The sequence below is a fragment of the Homo sapiens genome, chromosome 4 (assembly GCF_000001405.40).
Source record: "Homo sapiens chromosome 4, GRCh38.p14 Primary Assembly".
Lineage (NCBI taxonomy): Eukaryota > Metazoa > Chordata > Mammalia > Primates > Hominidae > Homo > Homo sapiens.
In genome coordinates this window covers 154,012,708-154,032,615 of record NC_000004.12, presented here as the reverse complement: position 1 = coordinate 154,032,615, position 19,908 = coordinate 154,012,708, and the positions used below count along the sequence as shown (strand labels likewise).

Genomic DNA, 19,908 nt, shown 5'->3' with positions numbered 1-19,908 from the left:
TATGCAGAAGAACGAAACTGGACCCCTACCTTTCACCATATACAAAAATTAACTGAAGATGGATTAAAGACTTAAATTTAAGACCAAAACTGTAAAAATCCTAAAAGAAAACCTAGAAAATATCATTCTGGACATCGACTTTGGCAAAGAATTTATGACTAAGTCCTCAAAAGCAATTGCAACAAAAACAAAACTTGACTAACAGTATCTAATTAAACTACAAGGCTCTGCACAGCAAAAGAAACTGTCAACAGAGCAAACAGACAACCTACAGAATGGGGGAAAATATTTGCATATTCCACATTCAACAAAGGTCTAATATCCAGAATCTATAAGGAACTTAATTCGACAAGCCAAAAACAACTCCATTTAAAAAATGGGCGAAGGACATGAACAGACACTTCTCAAAAGGCAACATACAAGCAAACAACAAACATATCAAAAAATGCTCAACATCGCTAATCATCAGAGAAATGCAAATCAAAACCACAATGAGATACCATCTCACACCAGTCAGATGGTTATTATTAAAAAGTCAAAAAAAAAAAAGATTCTGGTGAGGTTGCAGAGAAAAGGAACCTTTGTACACTGTTGGTGGGAGCGTAAATTAGTCTACAGTGGAAAGCAGTTTGGAAATTTCTCAAAGAACTTAAAAAACTACCATTTGACCCAGCAATCCCATTAGCAGGTATATACCCAAAGGAAAATAAATCATTCCACCAAAAAGACCCTCATATGTTTGCCACTGCACTATTTGCAATAGCACAGACATGGAATCAACCTAGGTGCCCATCAGTGGTGGATCAGATAAAGAAAATATGGTACATATACACCATGGAATACTACACAGCCATAAAAAAATAAAATTATCTCCTTTGCAGCAACATGGATGCAGCTAGAGGGCATTATCTTAAGCAAATTAATGCAGGAACAGGAAACCAAACACTGCATATTCTCTCCAATAAGTGGGAGCTAAATACTGGGTATTCATGGACATAAAGATGACAACAATTGACACTGAAGACTACTAGATGGGGGAGGGAGGGAGAGAACTAAGAATGGAAAAACTACCCTTCAGGTACTATGTTCACTACCTGGGTGACAGGATCAATTGTACCCCAAACCTCAGCATCACACAAACCCACACATATATCCCCTGAATCTAAAATAAAATTTGAAATAAAAAAAGAAAAAGAGTGTGCCTGAGATAATATGTGATGAGCAAGACTTACATAAAGTATACATCAAAAGATGAATATTGACTATGAAGTAAGCTTCTTTTGTGGGTTTGAAAACACAATTCAACCTCCAACCCCATTCCTCCCTCAACCATACACACTCCATCTTGTTTCATTTTAAGTCAAGATTATTTTTCCCAAGGAAAACATTTATTGTGTGTTTACTGCATTTGCTTATCTGGGAGCTTATTAGCAGAATTCTCTCCAACAACTAAAAATTTGTAGGGTTAATCTGATGTTGAACAAAAAAATGGTTTTATAAACATTTGGGATCCCCATCACCTCCTTGTTCTTGGCACTCCGTGAATCACTGATCCACATCTCCCTGGGGCTTCTGATGCTGCTGACAAGAAGAAACTGCTGTTTAAATTACATCAGGGCTGAAATGAGCATCCTGAGTCAGAGCTCCAACCCACAGAGGAGTATCAGCTCCAAGGAGGCACATCAGAGCTGACAGTTATCTTAAGGTAAACAGTTCGACTGTAAAGTGCAGTTTTATGGCCCCAGTAAGTGATTTCCACTCAGCCTCACAGGTGTATGTGCATATTTTTTCTTTGTTGAGGAAATTGTAATATCTTACTCTTAGCACCACAGAATCTCCTCTCCCAGAGAGCACATTAAATGTCCCTCCAGTTTCCAAGGCTTAATTAAGAGCTTTGTAAAATCAGCTACATATTTTTACCCAGGTGGTTGCTAAGCATGTTGAATGATTCTCTGCCTACAGACACTTCCAGTCAAGAACCCATTCAATTGCGTATAAAAGGGGATAAAAAGGACTTTTCTTTCTTGATTTTTTTTTCATCATGTCTTATCTAAGGTAGTGAAAATTAGATCACCATTAGCTGGCATGTTGGGAGTATCGAGACATCTAAAACAACTTACATGTTATCCCTACCAAATGCCCAGGCCCTGATGTTTTAGGACCCTTGTTAGAAGGTGCACTTCTACCTCCAAGCATCACCTTTAGTTTACCCTCTAGAGTGTGACCAGATAAATCTCAGGAAAGGAAACAATTTCCTCTGGTCATTAGCAGAACAATAGAAAGGCAAACACAAGAACCACAATTGCCCATGATTCAGTACTTTGGGTGTTACCCTCCACTTACTATCTTTAATGAACTGTGCTAATTCCCAGTAAATGTTCTTATTTTCTATAAAAGGACATATTCCTAATATCTATACTGTATACTATAGATATTCAAGATATTCAAGAAATATCGTTTAAATGAATGTTTAACAACTCAGGTGGGGGTGGAAGAGATTTTTCTTAATAATTTTTTGAAAAGCAGCCAGTCCATAAATAGGCACAGTCTTTATTATAATCAAGGCAGATGTTTGGCCCCATCTTTCTCTTCCCTTCCCCAGACATTCTGCTTAAAATGTCTCTGTCTGATTCCCCTGTGAAGCTGCCTTCACTCTTAGGAAGAGAAAAAGCAAAATAGGAAGGACCAGATTCAAGAAGCTCCTATTCTTCAAATGCTCACAACAAATTTTCTTAACAATGACTTTTTAAATATGTAGATGCTATCTATAATTGCTTTCTTAAAAGTCTGGGGGACAGAATTGTTCTGAAGCCTTTGCTTATTAGGGAAGATTCATTGAAAGGAAAAAGAATCATCAGTCCAAATTTTCTGGATGACTTTTAAATAGACGTGAGTCTTAAAAGTTAACCCAGGATTCCTCCTGAAGACTAAGAATGCAAACACATTTTTAAAACTAATTAAATGCTTCTGGTTGCTAGCATAGTCCTTTTAAATGAGTCTCATTTTAGATACACTAAACCTTAGCTTCTCTACTTTTGACATTGCTAAGCAAAGTTTTCAACCCTCTGGTTATAGTCAGCATGTGCCTACATTTCTGCTTATTTGAAAATGAAGATTGTGAAGTGCTGAGCCCTTCTGCTTTTAGCTCCTTGATCTTGAGCCTCAATTTCCTCATTTGTGTGTTGCAGAGTTGGACAACCTCCTCAAGGCCTCAGGGGTGAGGTGGGGCTATAGGATAAGCACAGAAGAGCAAGCCAAGGCAGTTCTATTTTAATCGGACTTCAAACTTCTTCATTTTGTAAGATTTTCTTTGATCAAAAAGGGATTTTGACTTAAAAAAGAAAAAGTTCACAAACACCTGGATTAAATGAACGATGACTGAGGTCCCTTGAGATTCAAAGTTCCCATGGTGGAGATTAGCTTTACAAATTTACCAGTTGAGTAAAATGTGCAGTTTTGTGGTTGTTGAATCTTTGGTTTGGTTTGAAAAGCAGGTGATAGCTATGCCTTCTCCAAGGATGAGTTTTTGGTGAGGAATGCAATGCCCTCACTGACAGTGGTTCCTCTGGAAAGTTCTGGATCCATATTCAGAAGGTCTGCTTTAGATCATATAATAGTTCTATTTTTAATTTTTTAAGGAAACTTCATACTGTTTTTCAGAGTGGCTATGCCATTTTACATTCCCACCAACAGTGGACAAGGGTTCTAAAATCCTAACAGGTGTGAGGGGATATCTCATTTCAGTTTTGATTTGCATTTCCTTAATGATTATTGAGGTTGAGCACCTTTTCATATACCTGTTAGCTATTTGTATCTCTTCTTTGGGAAATGTCTATTCAAATCCTTTATCCATTTTAAAAACTGGTTATCTGGATTTTGGTGGGTTTTCTCCTCTATTTTCTTTCTTTCTTTCTTTCTTCTTTTTTTTTTTTTTTTTTTTTTTTTTTTTTTTTGCTATTTTGTTGAGGAAGTTCCTTATATATTTCAGAGACTAACCCGTTATCAGATATATGGTTTTCAAATATTTTCTCCCATTCTTTGGGTTTCCTTCTCAGCCTGTTGACAGTTTTCCTTGCTGTGCAGAAGCTTTTCACTCCTGGGTATATATCTCCAAAATCTGAAATCAGGATCTCAAAGAGATATTTGCACTCCTAGATTCATTGCAGCATAATTCACAATAGCCAAGATGTGGAGTCAACCCAAATGTCCATCAACAGATGAGTGAGTAAAGAATATGTGGTATATTCATAAAATGGAATATTATTTAGCCTTTATAAAAGAAGGAAATCCTGCCATATGCTACAACATGGATCAACCAGGAAGACATTATGCTAAGTGAAATAAACCAGACACGAACGATGAATACTGTATGATTCCACTGAAATGATATATCTAAAATTGTCAAAGTCATAGAAGCTGAGAGTAAAATGGTTGTTCAGGGGCTCAGGGAAGGGGGAAATAGGGAGTTGCTGTTCAACGGGTATAAAATTTCAAGTTATGCAAAATGAATAAGATCTACAAGTCTGTTGTACAATGTAGTACCTGTAGTTAACAGTACAATTCTGTGCACTTAAAAATGTTTTAAGAGGGTAGATCTCATGTTAAGCATTTTTACCACACACATACCCCCACAGACAAAGCAAAGGGACACAAGAAAATTTTGGGAGGTGATGTGTGTGTATATATATATATATATATATAACTTTGATTTCAGTGATGGTATGATGGGTGTATGCCTATGTCCAAACTCAGCAAATTATATACATTAAATATGTGAAGTATTTTTGTATATCAAATATACTCAACACTACAACATGAATGAACCTGGAGGACATTATGCTAAGTGAAATAAGCCAGACACAGAAAGACTACCACTACACGATTCCGCTTAAATAATATATCTAAAATAGTCTAAGTGAGGGGTAGAATGGCATAATAAAACAGCCTTATTTTGTGGTAGAAATCCTAGAAGGACAGGGTAGAGATAAAGAACAATGGATTGTACTTCTGTGGCTGAGGGAGGAGGTGGTTGAGGGTAAGAAAACAGCAGCAAACGAAGCTCATCAATAGAGGTTATGCAGAGAGAATGGCTCTGGAATGAAAGAAAGCATGGAAGAAGAAAAAGCAGTTACTTACCTTGGGGAGAAGAAGAGAGTTGTGAGGAGGCTTTCACTGGTAGGAGCCTACAAAACTGAAAAGAAGAAAAGAAAATGAGTGAGAAGTAGCAAAAGGAACAGAATAAGGAGGAGATGGTGACAGCTTGACATGATTTGTGAAGCTTTCTAAGGAGTGATTGCCAGTCAGAGAAATCATGAAAATAAGAAGGTAAAGATGAACCAAATACAAAAGTTGCAGTGAAAGAGGAAATGAACAGTAGGAATGACAACAACAAAAACAACAACAACAACAGACAGATAATGAGAAGAAAAATAGAACATGGAGGATTCATCCAAGGAAGAGGTTGTTTTAAGCCACATGTTCAGGAAAAGGATGAATGATTGATAAAAACTCACAACCCTTAAGATTAGCTTCTGAGTCAAACTATCACTGAAGGTTCTTATTACTGCCTCATAAATGGCCATATTCATTTCACAGCTCTCGAAGGGCTCAGAACACATTCTTAAAGCATCTTAGAGCTACAGTCTGAGGGCTAACCATGACCAGCTTTTATTCAAAAGCTTCTATACTTACCATCTGCACAGCACTACTCTCATCTTTGCTAAACCCAAACGAGAAAAAAAGCTCTAGGATTAAGAAGAAAAAGTCATCTTAAACAGTTTTTGTTGAGCTAAGTGCCCACAACTCCTTCTCCCTGTTAGATTTTTATCACACGTTTAAAAGTCAGCGAGGAAAAGGTAAATGAAGATTTCTACAGAGAAAGGGGGAATAAACTACTTAAAGAAAGAAGCTCGCATTAGGATCTAGAGAACCTCATTTTGCAAATTCAAAATATTAAGCGATTTAGATATTATGACAAGTTGTTTCTGGGAAAAGAAAACCAACTCTATTTTTTATCCATATTCACTATACATTCTCTGTGCCCACCAAGGTAGACATAGTGAGAATCCATGGGGTGCATGAAGCTAATTCAGTGCTCCCTTGAGATTTGAATCTTTCCACAGACTTCCGCTGATGCTGTCATGAAATCTGTCACTTTCTCTCTTTTAAAATAGTGACACTAGTACCCTTTATTGATAATAATGATGATTCTTATATTTATTTGCCTTAACCAAAGGAGCAAAATGGCTTTATGATTGAGAAGAAAGCATAATGTTAAAGGGTATGCATAGAGCTACTCAATAATGGCTTTAGATGTTTAATGCAAATGATAGGCTTGTGCCAAGCCCATGACGGAGTGCTTATGGGATTGTTTCCTTCTCGTGGCGGGAGGAGACAGGACCTATCGCTGTTTCTTTCTGGAATGCGACTGATTTAGATGATTTACAAACTTTGCTCCATAGAAATGCCTCTCCCTCCGCGGGCGAGGCTCTTCCTCTCTCCCCCGTAATAGAAGGGACAAAACAAAAACAACAAAGCAGCCGGGGGCAGTGGCTCATGCCTGTAATCCCAGCACTTTGGGAGGCCAAGGCTGGGCAACATGGCAAAACCCCATCTCTACTAAAAATACAAAAATTAGCCAGGCGTGGTAGAGGTCAGGAGTTCGAGACCAGCCTGGGCAACATGGTGAAACCCCGTCTCTACTAAAAATACAAAAATCAGCCGGGTGTGGTGGCGGGCACCTGTATTCCCAGCTACTCGGGAGGCTGAGGCAGGAGAATTGCTTGAACCCAGGAGCCAGAGGTTGCAGTGAGCCGAGATTGCGCCAATGCATTCCAGCCTGGGTGACGAAGACAGACTCTGTCTCACAAAAAAACACAAACAACAACAAAACAGCCTGGTAGGAGCATTGCTGAAAGAAGGGAGAGAAGAATGGGGTTCCTACAGAGGTAGAAGTAAAAAAAAAAAAAGCCTTTGGGTTTCTGCAACTCCTCTCCCTCAGCACGAGCACACAGAACTCCAGCACCCGTCCCAATGCCCCTCTCACCGACCCCAGCCTGGCCCCTCCACTGCAGCAGGGCCAGTGCCCCCAGGGTCCCCTGAATGCAGCATAGGCCTTGTCATCTTTGCTTTGCTTTCCCAGATGCTGCCCAAGCCCCGTCTCCTCAGCACAGCATTTCCTGACCTTCCAAAGCACCATTCTCTCTTCCTTCCCTGAATTCCTTCTGCATCAAGTCTGACCTGAGTGCTTGGCTCTAAGTCTCATTGCCTTTTCTTTGACTCTAGTTCAGGGACATATGTTTTGCTGTCCCACTGAGACAGCAAGCTAGAAAGACCAGGAGGCATCTCATACTTTTGTTTTCCTCATGGCCTTAGCATAAGCCTCACTCAGGGATTCCTTGCTGAGTTGAATTGATTCAAACTGAACCATGAAGAGTAAAAGTACAGAAAATCAAACCCCTTCTGAGACAAAGATCTGACGTCTTCTGCTTTCCTGAGCATACAAAGAGGGTGAGAGGCTTTCCCACCAAAGTCCCCTCTGTTCAGATTTGGGGTCAAACTGTAGCACATGAGAAAGTGAGAAGTGGTTGAGAGAATGAGAGGTCCATATTGTTTTCCTCCTACCAAATAGGGACTTTTTTTTAGGTTAGTTTTTTGTTGTTGTTGTTTTTACAGAATCTCACTTACTCTGCCACCCAGACTGGAGTGCAATGGCACGATCTTGGCTCACTGCAACCCCTGTCTCCCAGGTTCAAGTGACTCTCCTGCCTCAGCCTCCCAAGTAGCTGGGATTACAGCCGCCACTACCACACCTGGCTAATTTTTGTATTTTTAGTAGAGACGGGGTTTTGCCATGTTGCCCAGGCTGGTCTCGAACTCCTGACCTCAAGTGATCCACCCACCTTGGGCTCCCAAAGTGCTGAGATTACAGGTGTGAACCACCGCGCCTGGCCGGGGCTTTCTTCTTTCTTTGTTACCTCTTAATTTTTAAAATGGCCTGCTAGCCGGTCATGGCAGCAAGGGCCTATGGGCCCAGCTCTGCGGGAAGCTGAAGTGGAAAGATTCCATGAGCCCAGGGCTTGGAGTTCAGCCTGGGCTGCACAGTAAGGCCCCATCTGTTTAAAACACATTGCCTATAATTTTGGAGGAAAACACAAGAATGTGAGGTTTATTAAAGCCAATTTCTGAGCCTTAGACATCTTGTTCTTGTCTATGCATTAATTATGAATTTACTAAAAATATATTGTTACTGAAATGGCAAAAGTTCCCGTGTTCCCCTCGCAGGGCACGTGATGGGGGTGTGGCTCACTTCTTCAGTGCCCTGCTGCTCAAACCTCTAGGGGGAGCATACAGATCGGCAGTGGGGGCAGTGTCTAGGGCTGAATGTTTACAGCTGAAGCCCCAGTGGGCATGTATTACAGGGTGCTCTTTTAGTTTAGCCATCGTAGGTGGCTTGTGATAGCTCAGTTAGACCCCCCTGCCTTATCACAAGAACAGAGGGCTTTCTGTATCCCGGGGTTCTTGCCTTGGTGTACGGGAAGAATCAGATCACACGTGGGCTTGGAGAATGAGCGCAAGGTTTTATTGAGTGGAAGTAGCTCTCAGCAGATGGGGGAGCCAGAAGAGAGATGGTTTTCCCCTGGAGTCGGGCTGCTTGGCGCCCGGGCTCTCCTCCAACTGCCCCGGCCAAACTCCACGTCGTTCTGCCAGTCGGTGACCTGCTGGTGTGCTGGTGCCTGTCGGTGCGTTCCTCTCAATGTCCAGCCGCCCACGTGTGCCTCTGCTGAAATGCTCCTCTCCACGTCCAGCCTCCTGTGTGTCTGGCTGCTAGCGTCTCAGGGATTTTATAGGCACAGGATGGGGGAGTGGCAGGCCAGGGTGGTCTTGGGAAATGCAACATTTGGGCAGGAAAACAAAAATGCCTGTTTTCACCTAGGTCCATGGGCACAGGCCCAGGGCTGGAGCCCTAGCCAGGGACCATGCTCTTCCCCGCTTCCCTATCATTTAAAGGGACCACGCCCTTCTCTTCCCAGCACTTTCCTTCCCCATTCCGCATCATTGCTGAGTGGCTGCATTGTGCGTTATGATAGCTGCTGGGTGTCCACTGATGAACAAAAGACACCTGGTTGTTATCTTCATGGAGCCTGTACTTTAAAGAAGTTAACACATACATATAACAAAATACAAGTGGATAGATTGTATAATGTGTGAATTATATATCAATATGACCATTACAAAAATAGAGACTACAGAGAGCAGCCTTTTTAAGTAGAGTGGTCAGGGGCACCTATTTTCACTGTGTTCTAACTAAGTGTGCATGCACAACAATTATCACCTGCATATCCTCACATGATACCCTGCACGCAGTAGGTGATTTTTAACACGTCTGTGGTCCAGATGAAGAATGCTGAGGCAGGGCTGGACTTTCTTACTTGAAGATTCTGGAGAACACAAAGAGACACGAAGCATTTAGCTGCCACCTTCCATCACAGATGTTCCTGTGGCATGTTAACTTGTAACTGGATTGGCTTCTCCAGAGCCCATCCCTTTCCCCCTCTTTCTGGGGGTACCTTTAATCTCCAAGTGCTTCATTTTCCACTTTGGTGAGTCACCCAGCCAGAGGATGGAGAACGTAAGTCATTACTTTCTTCATCTTTGCAGATAATTTGATACCGTCCTTTTGAATGTTTCTTCTGTATTTAAATCTTGGCAAGGGCCTGCTACATTGTTTGCAATTCTTCTATTCTCATTGCCAGCTTTTTCTGGAAAAAGTCAAAAAGTACGATGCAGGACACATCAAGCCACAACCACTTGGCTCCCTGGTGGTATAGGGTTTTCCCCATTCTCCTGCCGCCCTCATTGGCTCCCAGCTCTCGCTCTTTGCTTCTGAGGACACTTCCTGGAGACTCTCCCCGGGTACATAGTCTCTTGCTGAGGCTGCTTGAGAACATGCTAATCCCTTTCCTCTTTCACACCCCCAAAATTAAACATTCCACAAAAACTCTTCTTCAAGGTGAGACTGATTGGCTTAACCTCTGACAGGTTTTCTACTTGTGTTGACGTGAGTGACAGAGAAAAATTAGATGTTCTCCAACAGGCTCTCTAAGAACACAAAGAAAGGAAGCCCCTTAATCTAAACCAGCCCAGAATTCCAATGGTCCTGCACCCCACACATTGTTAGAGCTAGCTCCTCTAATAACAAGGGGGAGTTGTTGAACTTCCAAAAGATAAATTAAGTTACCATTCGCTGCCCAGTGCAGCAGTTAGGGGAGTTTTCCCAACTGATCCAAGCCAATCCTTATGTAAAATGAGAGTTATTTACCAACATTCAACAGTAACTACATTAAAATATAAGCCTTGGCCCTTGAGTCAGAGTAAAATTGTTTCCTTGACATTTGGGTTTGAATGTTTTCAATATATTAAAAAAGACTCTACAGTAAAATATTGACACTGTATTTGTCAGCTTCATGTCAGTCCCTGAAATATTTCCTCTGAATAAACAGTTTGTCACAGATTTATTTGTAGGTGGCATTAGATTTTTATTCTCTAGTGCATCCATTGAACATCAGGAAACATTTCCCAAATATAAGAGACTAGTATGTTATGAAAACAGAAAACAAAATGGGGAGTTTAGACTATCCCTAAATCAAATGCCAAACATGTAATTGAATAGCCTATTTGATTCAATTACTGCAAAAAGGGTTGCATCAACAATTCAGCAATTCAGTCATGGGTTTGGTAATGAACTTGAAAATGTTCAGTTTTTTTATACTGCCCAGGCATAACCAAAAGATATGTCTTTTCAGTATAGATTTATGAAGACCCAGCAGTTATGATATTAATATAAGCACAGTAGGGAGCCAAATCAGGGAGTTAGGTACCCAAGTGGATTTTCTTTTTCTTATCAGTTTTGGAATTTGACATAATAATCAGGTTAGGTGATTTGATCAGTTACAAGTTTGTCTCCTTGACTGTTCTTTCCAGTCCTAACCCCAGGAACATGGAGCTGCTGTATGTAGTGACTTGACCGAAGGCTACGTGTTTTGTCGCCTAAAGGTATGCCTTATATTTTTTGAAAACCAAGTATGTAGCAGTGATCATTGAGCCAGTACAGTCTTGGTTATTGCTTTCAGTCTCAGGTCAACAGAATCTTTATCCTTGCCTCACCTACAATTCAGAGCAAGCAAAGAAAAGACTGAACTGCAGGTGCCAAAATATGAATGGAGAGCATACCAATGGCAGTCGTTGCTCTCCAGGATTTAGGTCCTATTTTCTCTAAATACAACTTGGGTCATATTTTTTCTCTGTTAAAATATTGGATTGTGTGAGTTGGGCACTGTGGCTCACGCTTGTAATCCCAGCACTTTGGGAGGCTGAGGTGGGTGGATCATGAGGTCAGGAGTTCGAGACCAGCCTGACCAACATGGTGAAATCCCGTCTCTCCTAAAAATACAAAAACATTAGCCAGGTGTGGTGGCACACGTCTTTAATCCCAGCTACTCAGGAGGCTGAGGCAGGAGAATTGCTTGAATCTGGGACGTGGAGTTTGCAGTGAGCCGAGATTGTGCCGCTGCACTCCAGCCTGGGTGACAGAGTGAGACTCCGTCTCAAAAAAAAAAAAAAAAAAAAATATATATATATATATATATATATATGATTGTGTCGTGGGTTGAACTGTATTCCCTCAAAAACTATGTTGAAGACTGAACCCCTGGTACCTGTGAATGTGACCTCATTTGAAATAGGGGTTCTGCAGATGTAATCTCATTAAGGTGAGGACATACTGGATTGGGATGGGCCTTAATCCAATGACTAGTGCTCTTATAATGAGAGGAAAATGTAGATGCACAGACATAAAAGAAAGAAGCCCACATGAAGGCAGAAGCAGACACTGGAGTGATCATCTACAAGCCAAGGAATGCCAAGGATTTTCTAAAAACATGAGAAGCAAAAAGAAGCAAGGAAGGATCCTGGAGCCTTCAGAGAGAACATGGCCCTGCCCATACCTTGAGTGTAGACTTCTAGCCGCCAGAACTGTAAGGGTATACTTCTGTTGTTAGAAGTACATGGTACTTTGTTCTGGCAGCCCTTGGAAACTAATACACTGTGATTTTCATTTTTTCTTCCATTTCAATTACTTACTGTCTAAATTTCCCACTTTTTACTTCTACAGTGTCTGTCCATCAGGATTTGAAGGTTATATGTTTATTTAAAAATGTATTTTGGGGCCGGGTGCAGTGGCTCATGCCTGTAATCCCAGCACTTTGGGAGGCCGTGGCAGGCAGATTACCTGAGGTCGGGAGTTTGAGACCAGCCTGACCAACATGGAGAAAACCCGTCCCTACTAAAAATACAAAATTAGCTGGATGTGGTGGCACATGCCTGTAATCCCAGCTACTCGGGAGGCTAAGGCAGCAGAATCGCTTGAACCGGGAAGGCGGAGATTGCAGTGAGCTGAGATTGCGCCATTGCACTCCAGCCTGGGCAACAAGAGCAAAATTCCGCCTCAAAGAAAAAAAAATGTATTTGGGAAATGGCAGGATTAGTTGATGACTTTGCAGTGTAATGTTTGCACACCAAGGGAAAAGAAAAGAAACGCTTATTTATGTGTTGTAATGCACTGCTCTTGCCAAAATAAAATGAATCTCCATGCATGATATGACAGTTAAATAGGGAGTAAGTCTGCAGCAGGAAACCTGCAGCGAATGAGCTCTGTATCAAAGTCACTCCCATAGGTAAGTAAGTGGACACAGTTCTAATGTGCAGAAGAAGTCTCTGGGCTCCACCAGTGGGTTTCTCCATGACTTGTTTCTAGTGGGCTGCCCTGCACATAGTTAAGTGTCGATGGGTTGACAAACAGAGAGCACTGGATTTGAATCCTCTTCATAAAATGATCCTATCTCTTAGGGTGACCGAGATAATTAAACAATATAACATAGTGCCTGCTATATACTGGGAGCTCGACAAAGAGAAACTGCTATTATTATTATTAACTGCCAAGATACCTAACATTGTCTTATTGTAAATCACTTTGAATCCCTTGTGAAAGGAAGCAAACTAGAAAAACATTAGTATATTTCAGGAAGTGAAATTTACTAGCTATTTTTCAAGAACACTTGAAAATCTCTTGATACCCAAAATACTCCCTCACATTCCTGTTCCCTGGGCTACAAATCAGCCCCCCGCTCCAACAATTGATTACAGCTGATGTTCACTCTGACTTAAACTGATTACAATATTAGCAACTGACCTATTGACAATGATCTAGACCGTGATTCTTGTTTCTGCTCAACAAAAATAAGAGACTAATATGTTGTGAAAACATCAGAAAATCTTGTATTGCATGGCCTAAGGCCAAACTAATATTACATTTTAGCTATGCACATTCTCTTTGATCAGTAGATTAACCCCCAAATTAAGTGATTCCTATAGGTGCTAAATTTTAAGTAAGATAATGTAATTTTGTGAAACAGCTGTTTGAATTATGGCACAAATACTGTTTAAGTGTGACTGGTTTTAGAGGCAACATCTGCAAGAATGGGTCATGTGTCCATGTGTGACATTGCCTGGTGAATGCCTGTTCACCTTTGCCAAAACAGCACCCAGCTAGCACTGTAGATAAACACCCCTCACGTCCTCTCTGGAGAGTGTACAGCTTCTGTGGTTGCTATTGCAACCCCCTGCCATGATTTCTGTGCCTCCCCTGCCCAGGCAAGTTAGACCCAACACTTCTCAAAACCCCACAGACCACCAGAGGGTGCCCATCGCCTCCTCTCTGCCATCTGTGTTCGACACCCTGCCTGGAGTTAGGGTGTCCCTCCCCTTTCCCTCCCCTGAGCTAGGGGCCTTCTTCCTCGCTGCTGGGACTGAGAATGACCAAACCTGTCAAGGATGCTTCCTTTTGTTTTACTTATTTTTATTTTGGGAACATTTGACAAACAGTGAAAACAGACTGAGGATAATAGAATTGCAACAAAATTAAATACCTATGATTTGAGGAAATGAATCTGCACTCTGTCTATAATTGCTAAGCAGACAGAGACAAGAATAGCCAGTATGGTCATGTAGAACACAAGTATGGAATAATAATTGAGTTTCCCAAGTGTTTGGTGATATCAAGTTTAACCAAGTTTAATCTTATGAATGTTTTTTGTCACTTTTTTACTTTGAAATGATGTCAAACATACAGAGAGGTTACAAAAATGGTACAAGGTCTACCCAGTATACCCTTTACTCCAGGAGTTATCAGTTGTTTATTTTATCCTATTTTGTCCTATTTCCATTGTCATTTTCTCTCTCTCTCTTCATATATAAATATATATATATAATCTCTCCATATATAAACATACATAGTGATGTGCATGTATACATAACTCTATGTGCATGTATGCACAGCTCTATGTATGTTTACATGTGTATACATGTGCATGTATACATATCTCTATGTATGTTTATATATGTATATAGACATATGTGTGTATATATTATTTTTTGAACCACTTGAGAGCAACTTGTAGTTATCATGTGCCTTTACCCCTTAATACTTTTGTGTGTATATCTTAGAAACCAAGGACATTTCCTTATATAACTGCAACATAATTTTAAAAATCAGGATATTTAATTTTGTTGCAAATCTATTATCAAATCTACAGTCCATTTTCAATGTTTGTCAGAAGTCCCCAAAATATACTGTAGAGCCAATTGTTTTCCAGTCCAGGATTCCATCCAGGAAGACACATTGCATTTGGTGGTCATGCCTCCTTAGTCTCCTTCAATCAGAAACATTTCCTTAGCCTTTGCTTTTGTTGACTTTTTCAATCTGGAAGATTACAGGCCAGTTACTTTATAGATGTTCCTCAATTTGGCCTTGATGGCTGTTTCTTCATGATTAGATTCAGATTATGCATTTTTTTGGCAGAAATGTCACAGAGTGATACCATGCCCTTCATATCAGGAGACACATGCTACCAGTTTGCTTCATTTTGAGTGATAATTGACTTTTATCACTTGGATAAGGTGCTATTTACCAGATTTCTCCACTGTAATTATTTTTCCCTGTGTAATTAATAAGTAATTTGAAAGGAGACACTGAGATCACGAATGCATCTTGTTTCTCATCAAACTTTCACTCACTTGTTTTAGCAACCATTGTTGATTTTCTAAGTCCATCATTCCTTCTATAGTTACGGCATGTTATTCTATTTTATTATTTTTATTATTACAGATTCTATAATTATTATTAGCATTTTATTTTCATTTATGTATATCTGTTTTTTGGCGATTTACATGCTTATTGTGCTTTTCCTTTTCCTATTTTTTGTCCTAACAATTGTAATTTATAAGGTAATCCAGGGATCATTTATGTTGTTTTTGTTTTTCTAAGACCATTTTTTGAGGTATGATTGACATACAACAAGCTGTACCTATTTAATGTACACAACTGAATGAGTTCGGAGTTAAGTATACACTGACGTGACCATGACCACAATCAAAGCCATAAACTTACCCACCACCTCCAAAAGTTCCTTCTGCCCCTTTATTTTGTTTAAGATTTTTTTCTTTTGTGGTAAGAGCACTGACCATAAGATCTACTCCCTTAGCAAATTTTTAAGTATAGAATACAACACAACATTGTTAACTATAGGCTTTATAACTATAGATCTAGTAGATCTCTAAAATCTATTCCATTTATTTTTTACTTTTGCCAATCAGAATCCATAGATTTATATTTTATGTAATGTGTTATGATCCATTATGACAATTTATTATTATGCTTAAATTGACCCACATTGGCCAGTAGGAACCTCTTTAAGCTGATTTCTATGTCCTTTCCATAGGTCTTCACTAACTTTTGAGCACTTCCTTACTTTCTAGCAGAAAAAAGGGTTTGTGAGTATTTTTAACAAAATAATTACATGTTTGCATTAGCTATAGCCACAAAAAAATACCATTGGGGTCAGCCTCCCAATTGCATGCCCCTGCCCTAGATAGCTTGTGGATGTGAAGGGAGGGGCTACACCAGGTAGGGAGGCTGACTCTGGCACCTCGTGTCCTACAAATGATATACATTTGATACACAGAAGCCTCTGCATGGGCTTAGGGATTTGGAGTCCCTGAGTAAAAGGAAAATGTACCTATTCCATTTATTCCTTCTTCAGGTATCTTTGAATGTCCTTTGCCATACTGTTATAACAATTTCTCTACTCCTGGCATTCAGGATTTATGTGGAAGAGAAATCAGATTCAAAAAGAATCAAGGATCCTAGACACATGTTGTCCATGCCCGGGCCACCAGTGTGCACACACTATATTTACATCAGGCATCTCTGCACCAGGAGACAAGCCCAAGAGGCAGCAGCCAGGCACCCAAGGCAGCAACACAGTACAGAGGTGGGTTTCAGAGTGGATTGCACATGTGGCCCCAGATACTTCTCAGTCAGCCCACAAGTGTAATGGGATGAAGAAGACCCAAACCCCAAAGAAAATGTGGAGGAAAGTGTGCATTTCAAGCTTAAAACCTAAATTCCCATTCCACCATCACAAACAGCTAAAGTGGCTAAATTAATTATTCTCCTCATAAGAAAGAATGTTAAAAGATTTATTTTAATCTCTAATTCCTCCTCAGACCTTAAGAGATTTATGGTGTGAGTGGAGGATTTAATTGTATTACAATTTTTTTTCTTAAGATTGCATTTTCCTAACAGATTACATGATTTCAGTGTATTCATCATGATGCAGATGAATTACACGTTCTCTTGTTTGGAGGCAACAACGCAATGGAGTGTTCAATTCTGGAAAGCTGACTTCTCCGTAATGCTTATTGAAAAGAAAAGGGAGTAGTCAGTTAGTCACAGATTCAGCTAGAAAATCATATTCTGTGAAACTGTAAACAAACTGCCTCAGGGACTTTTCATAGAATGTCTTAAATCTGTGTTTGCCAGATATGGACCTTACCCCTGAAAGTGGGAAAACATAATACCCCAAATCTACACACATGATGACAGACTTGGAAGAGAAATAAATTATACCCATAATAGCCTTGATTTAATCTTTAGAGCATGGTTAGGCTGAGCAAATGAAATAAGGCCAAAACATTTCCTCACCTAACTCATAAGAAAGTGAGCCTTTTTATTTTTGCAACAGACATTTATGTTATGGTTTGATTAGGCACCATTACCCTCACCTCTCCACTTACAGAGGAATTTTCCCTTCACTAAAATCCAGAGAAGAAGGGTGGAGGGTGTGGGACAGGGAGACCACAAGAAAGACATAGTCCAAACTCACCACACTCTACCTTCTGCTATTTGGAAATATGGTGACTTTAAAAGCAATTTAGAAATAAATGTGTTAGCTTGTGGAAAGTTAGTCTTAACAGAATATAAGGGGTCTTTGGCACACAAGAGGTGTCTGATAAAGTGTGTTCCAGACGAAAGCTCCAAATTAAGTATTTGAGAATGTCATCCAAGAGAAAAAAAAAAAGCCAAATAGTTGGCAAAAACACAGCTGAATCGTGAAACTGTACACCAGGCTGCCAAGTCTCAAAGAATACTCTTAGGTACAATTTACTAAACCAACTAAATAAGAGGCAGCCATAAATTACAGATGAATGCAGATGTTGGTGGACTCTAGAGTCACCTCTAAGCCTATTAAAACTTTAAACACTCTGGTGCCTGATAGCCTGAAAGGCTGAAAATAGTGCTGTGGTGAACTGCTTATAGGAGACGTGTGTGTGTGTGTGTGTGTGTGTGTGTGCCGTGTGTGTGTGTCTGTGAGGAGAGAGAGAAAGGGAGACAGAGGTCTGCTGCTACTGGATGCCCACTCCTGCCCTGCTGGTCCTGAGAATGTACCTCAGAAAATACAATAAAATGTCTGTGAAAATCACCACATCAGGCCAGTGGAAAATGTAAACTGCTCCAAGATGAAAACTTCCAACAAAGCTGCTGAAGTCACGAAACTTTCATGGATTTTTAGAAACAAAATGCCTACATCAAAGGCTTATGTGAAACACAATTCCATTAAGCTAATGTATGAAAGCAAGCAAGCATGAACTTTTAGCTTAGGAAACCAGCTGCTACACTTCCACCCCGGAGATGAGGCTGTACCACAGGGCTGAGAGGGAGATGCTGTCTTCGGAGCTGGAGGACCCTCCCTCAGCTTGGGTCTCCTCAGACAGCTCCATTTCCTGGAGCAGTGCCATTTCCCTAGGAATAGAAAATTGATTCCCTAGGAATAGAAGAACATGGTTTTGACCCATGTTTACACTGTGCTGTACAATGTACAGAGAGCAAGCACATATGTGTAGACATTTAAAGATCCAACTCTTCTAAAATTTTGAGCATCTTTTGTTCCAAAATATGTCTTTTGGGATTCCAAGATGTAATCCTAAAATTCTGACAAAAATTTTATCCACTGGTAAAATTATGGGATTTTACTCACTTGTCTTGAGACAATAATCAGATTGAAAGGAAAAAATTGAAGAGTTGACAATCTGGAATATTAACTACCTTTACAATAAGCACCATTTATGTGTCATCCAATTATTTTTTTCTTTTTTATCTTAAAAAAGAAATTTTTTAAGATAAAAAATTGGGGCATTGCCCAAATTCCTTATATAGAATGAAAAAAAAATCAACAAGTTAAACGCACAGAAGAATTGACAGACCCAATAACCAAATGTTGCAATTTATCACTTTTCATGTATTAAAGGATGTACTGAATGTTACTATTATAGGAATACTTAATATAATGAAATCTAATTTCAGCTGATAAACCCACTTGTTAATCCAGCTCCCTGGAGAAAGCAGATGCCAAGATGGGATTCACATGAGAGGATTTCATCAGGGGAGACACCTGGGAGAACCATTTAGCTGGATAGAGTTCCAACCACAGTGCATGAGAGAGAGACAGGAGGTTGGGCAGTAGCACCCTACACTACAATAGATAATGCTGGGATAAGAAGATAGCCATATGCAAAAGAATGAGGTTAGACCCCTTCTTCACACCATACACAAAAATTAACTCTAACTGAACCATAGGCTTACATATAACAGATAAAATTATAAAAATCTTAGAAGAATACACAGGAGTCAATCTCATCAGACACTTTTCTAAACTTCCTTTTAAAAGTCTAGGCTAGGCCTCTCCATGGTACATTAGCCAGATGGGCAGATTCTGTCTTCTCAAAACTGACAACTGAAAACATAAAATAACCCAGCAAAAATGATATGTGAGGCAGACCAATGAACAAATAAGTCTGAACATAAGTATGTATTTAATCTTGTGGTTAAGAGCACAGACTCAGGAGTCACACAGAATCCCAACTGCACTACATACTGGTACTGATAATGACCTTGGACAAGTTACCTAACATCTCTGTGCCCAGTTATCACATCTGTAAAGTGGGATAATCATAAAAATACCCACCTGTATTAGTCAGGGTTCTCCAGAGAATCAGAAACAATTGTGTGTGTGTGTGTGTGTGTGTGTGTGTGTGTGTGTGTGTGTGTGTGTGTGTGTGTGTCTGTAAAGGGATTTAAGGAATTGGCTCATGTGATTACAGAGGTTGGCAAGTCCAAAATCTGCAGGGTGGACTGGAAGACTGGAGACCGGGGAAGAGCTGATGCTGTGGTTCAAGTCCAAAGGCCATCTCCTGGCAGAATTTCCTTTTGCCTGAGGGAAGTCAGTCTTGTGTTCTATTCAGGGTTTCAACTGATTGGATGAGGCCCACCAGCATTATGAAGGGCAATCCGCTTTGTTCAGTCTACCCAGGTAAATGTTACTCTCAACCAAAAACACCCTCACAGAAACATTCAGTAAAATGTTCGACCACATATCTGGGCACCTTGGCCAAGTTAATTGGACACAAACAATTAACCATCACATCACTTAAAAGGACTTTTGCCAAGATTAA

The 19,908-nt window shown here is 40.2% G+C and overlaps 1 long non-coding RNA gene across 2 annotated transcripts in view, besides 2 other annotated features; it reads right to left on the bottom strand.

Annotated features, from left to right (window-relative positions):
- Nucleotides 1-19,908, bottom strand: part of LOC101927947 (uncharacterized) — a 469,997-nt gene that overhangs the window by 266,204 nt on the left and 183,885 nt on the right. For both annotated transcript variants that reach the window (XR_007058336.1, XR_007058335.1), the window contains one exon: nucleotides 5,137-5,191. This is a non-coding gene — a long non-coding RNA (uncharacterized LOC101927947). The remainder of the gene's footprint in view (nucleotides 1-5,136; nucleotides 5,192-19,908) is intronic.
- Nucleotides 8,242-8,762: an enhancer, noted in NCBI's record as "H3K4me1 hESC enhancer chr4:154945006-154945526 (GRCh37/hg19 assembly coordinates)". NCBI's record gives its function as "activates a minimal SCP1, AML or CMV promoter by ChIP-STARR-seq in primed H9 embryonic stem cells {active_cell/tissue: H9 hESC(primed)}" and the evidence as "EXISTENCE:reporter gene assay evidence [ECO:0000049][PMID:30033119]".
- Nucleotides 8,763-9,284: an enhancer, noted in NCBI's record as "H3K4me1 hESC enhancer chr4:154944484-154945005 (GRCh37/hg19 assembly coordinates)". NCBI's record gives its function as "activates a minimal SCP1, AML or CMV promoter by ChIP-STARR-seq in primed H9 embryonic stem cells {active_cell/tissue: H9 hESC(primed)}" and the evidence as "EXISTENCE:reporter gene assay evidence [ECO:0000049][PMID:30033119]".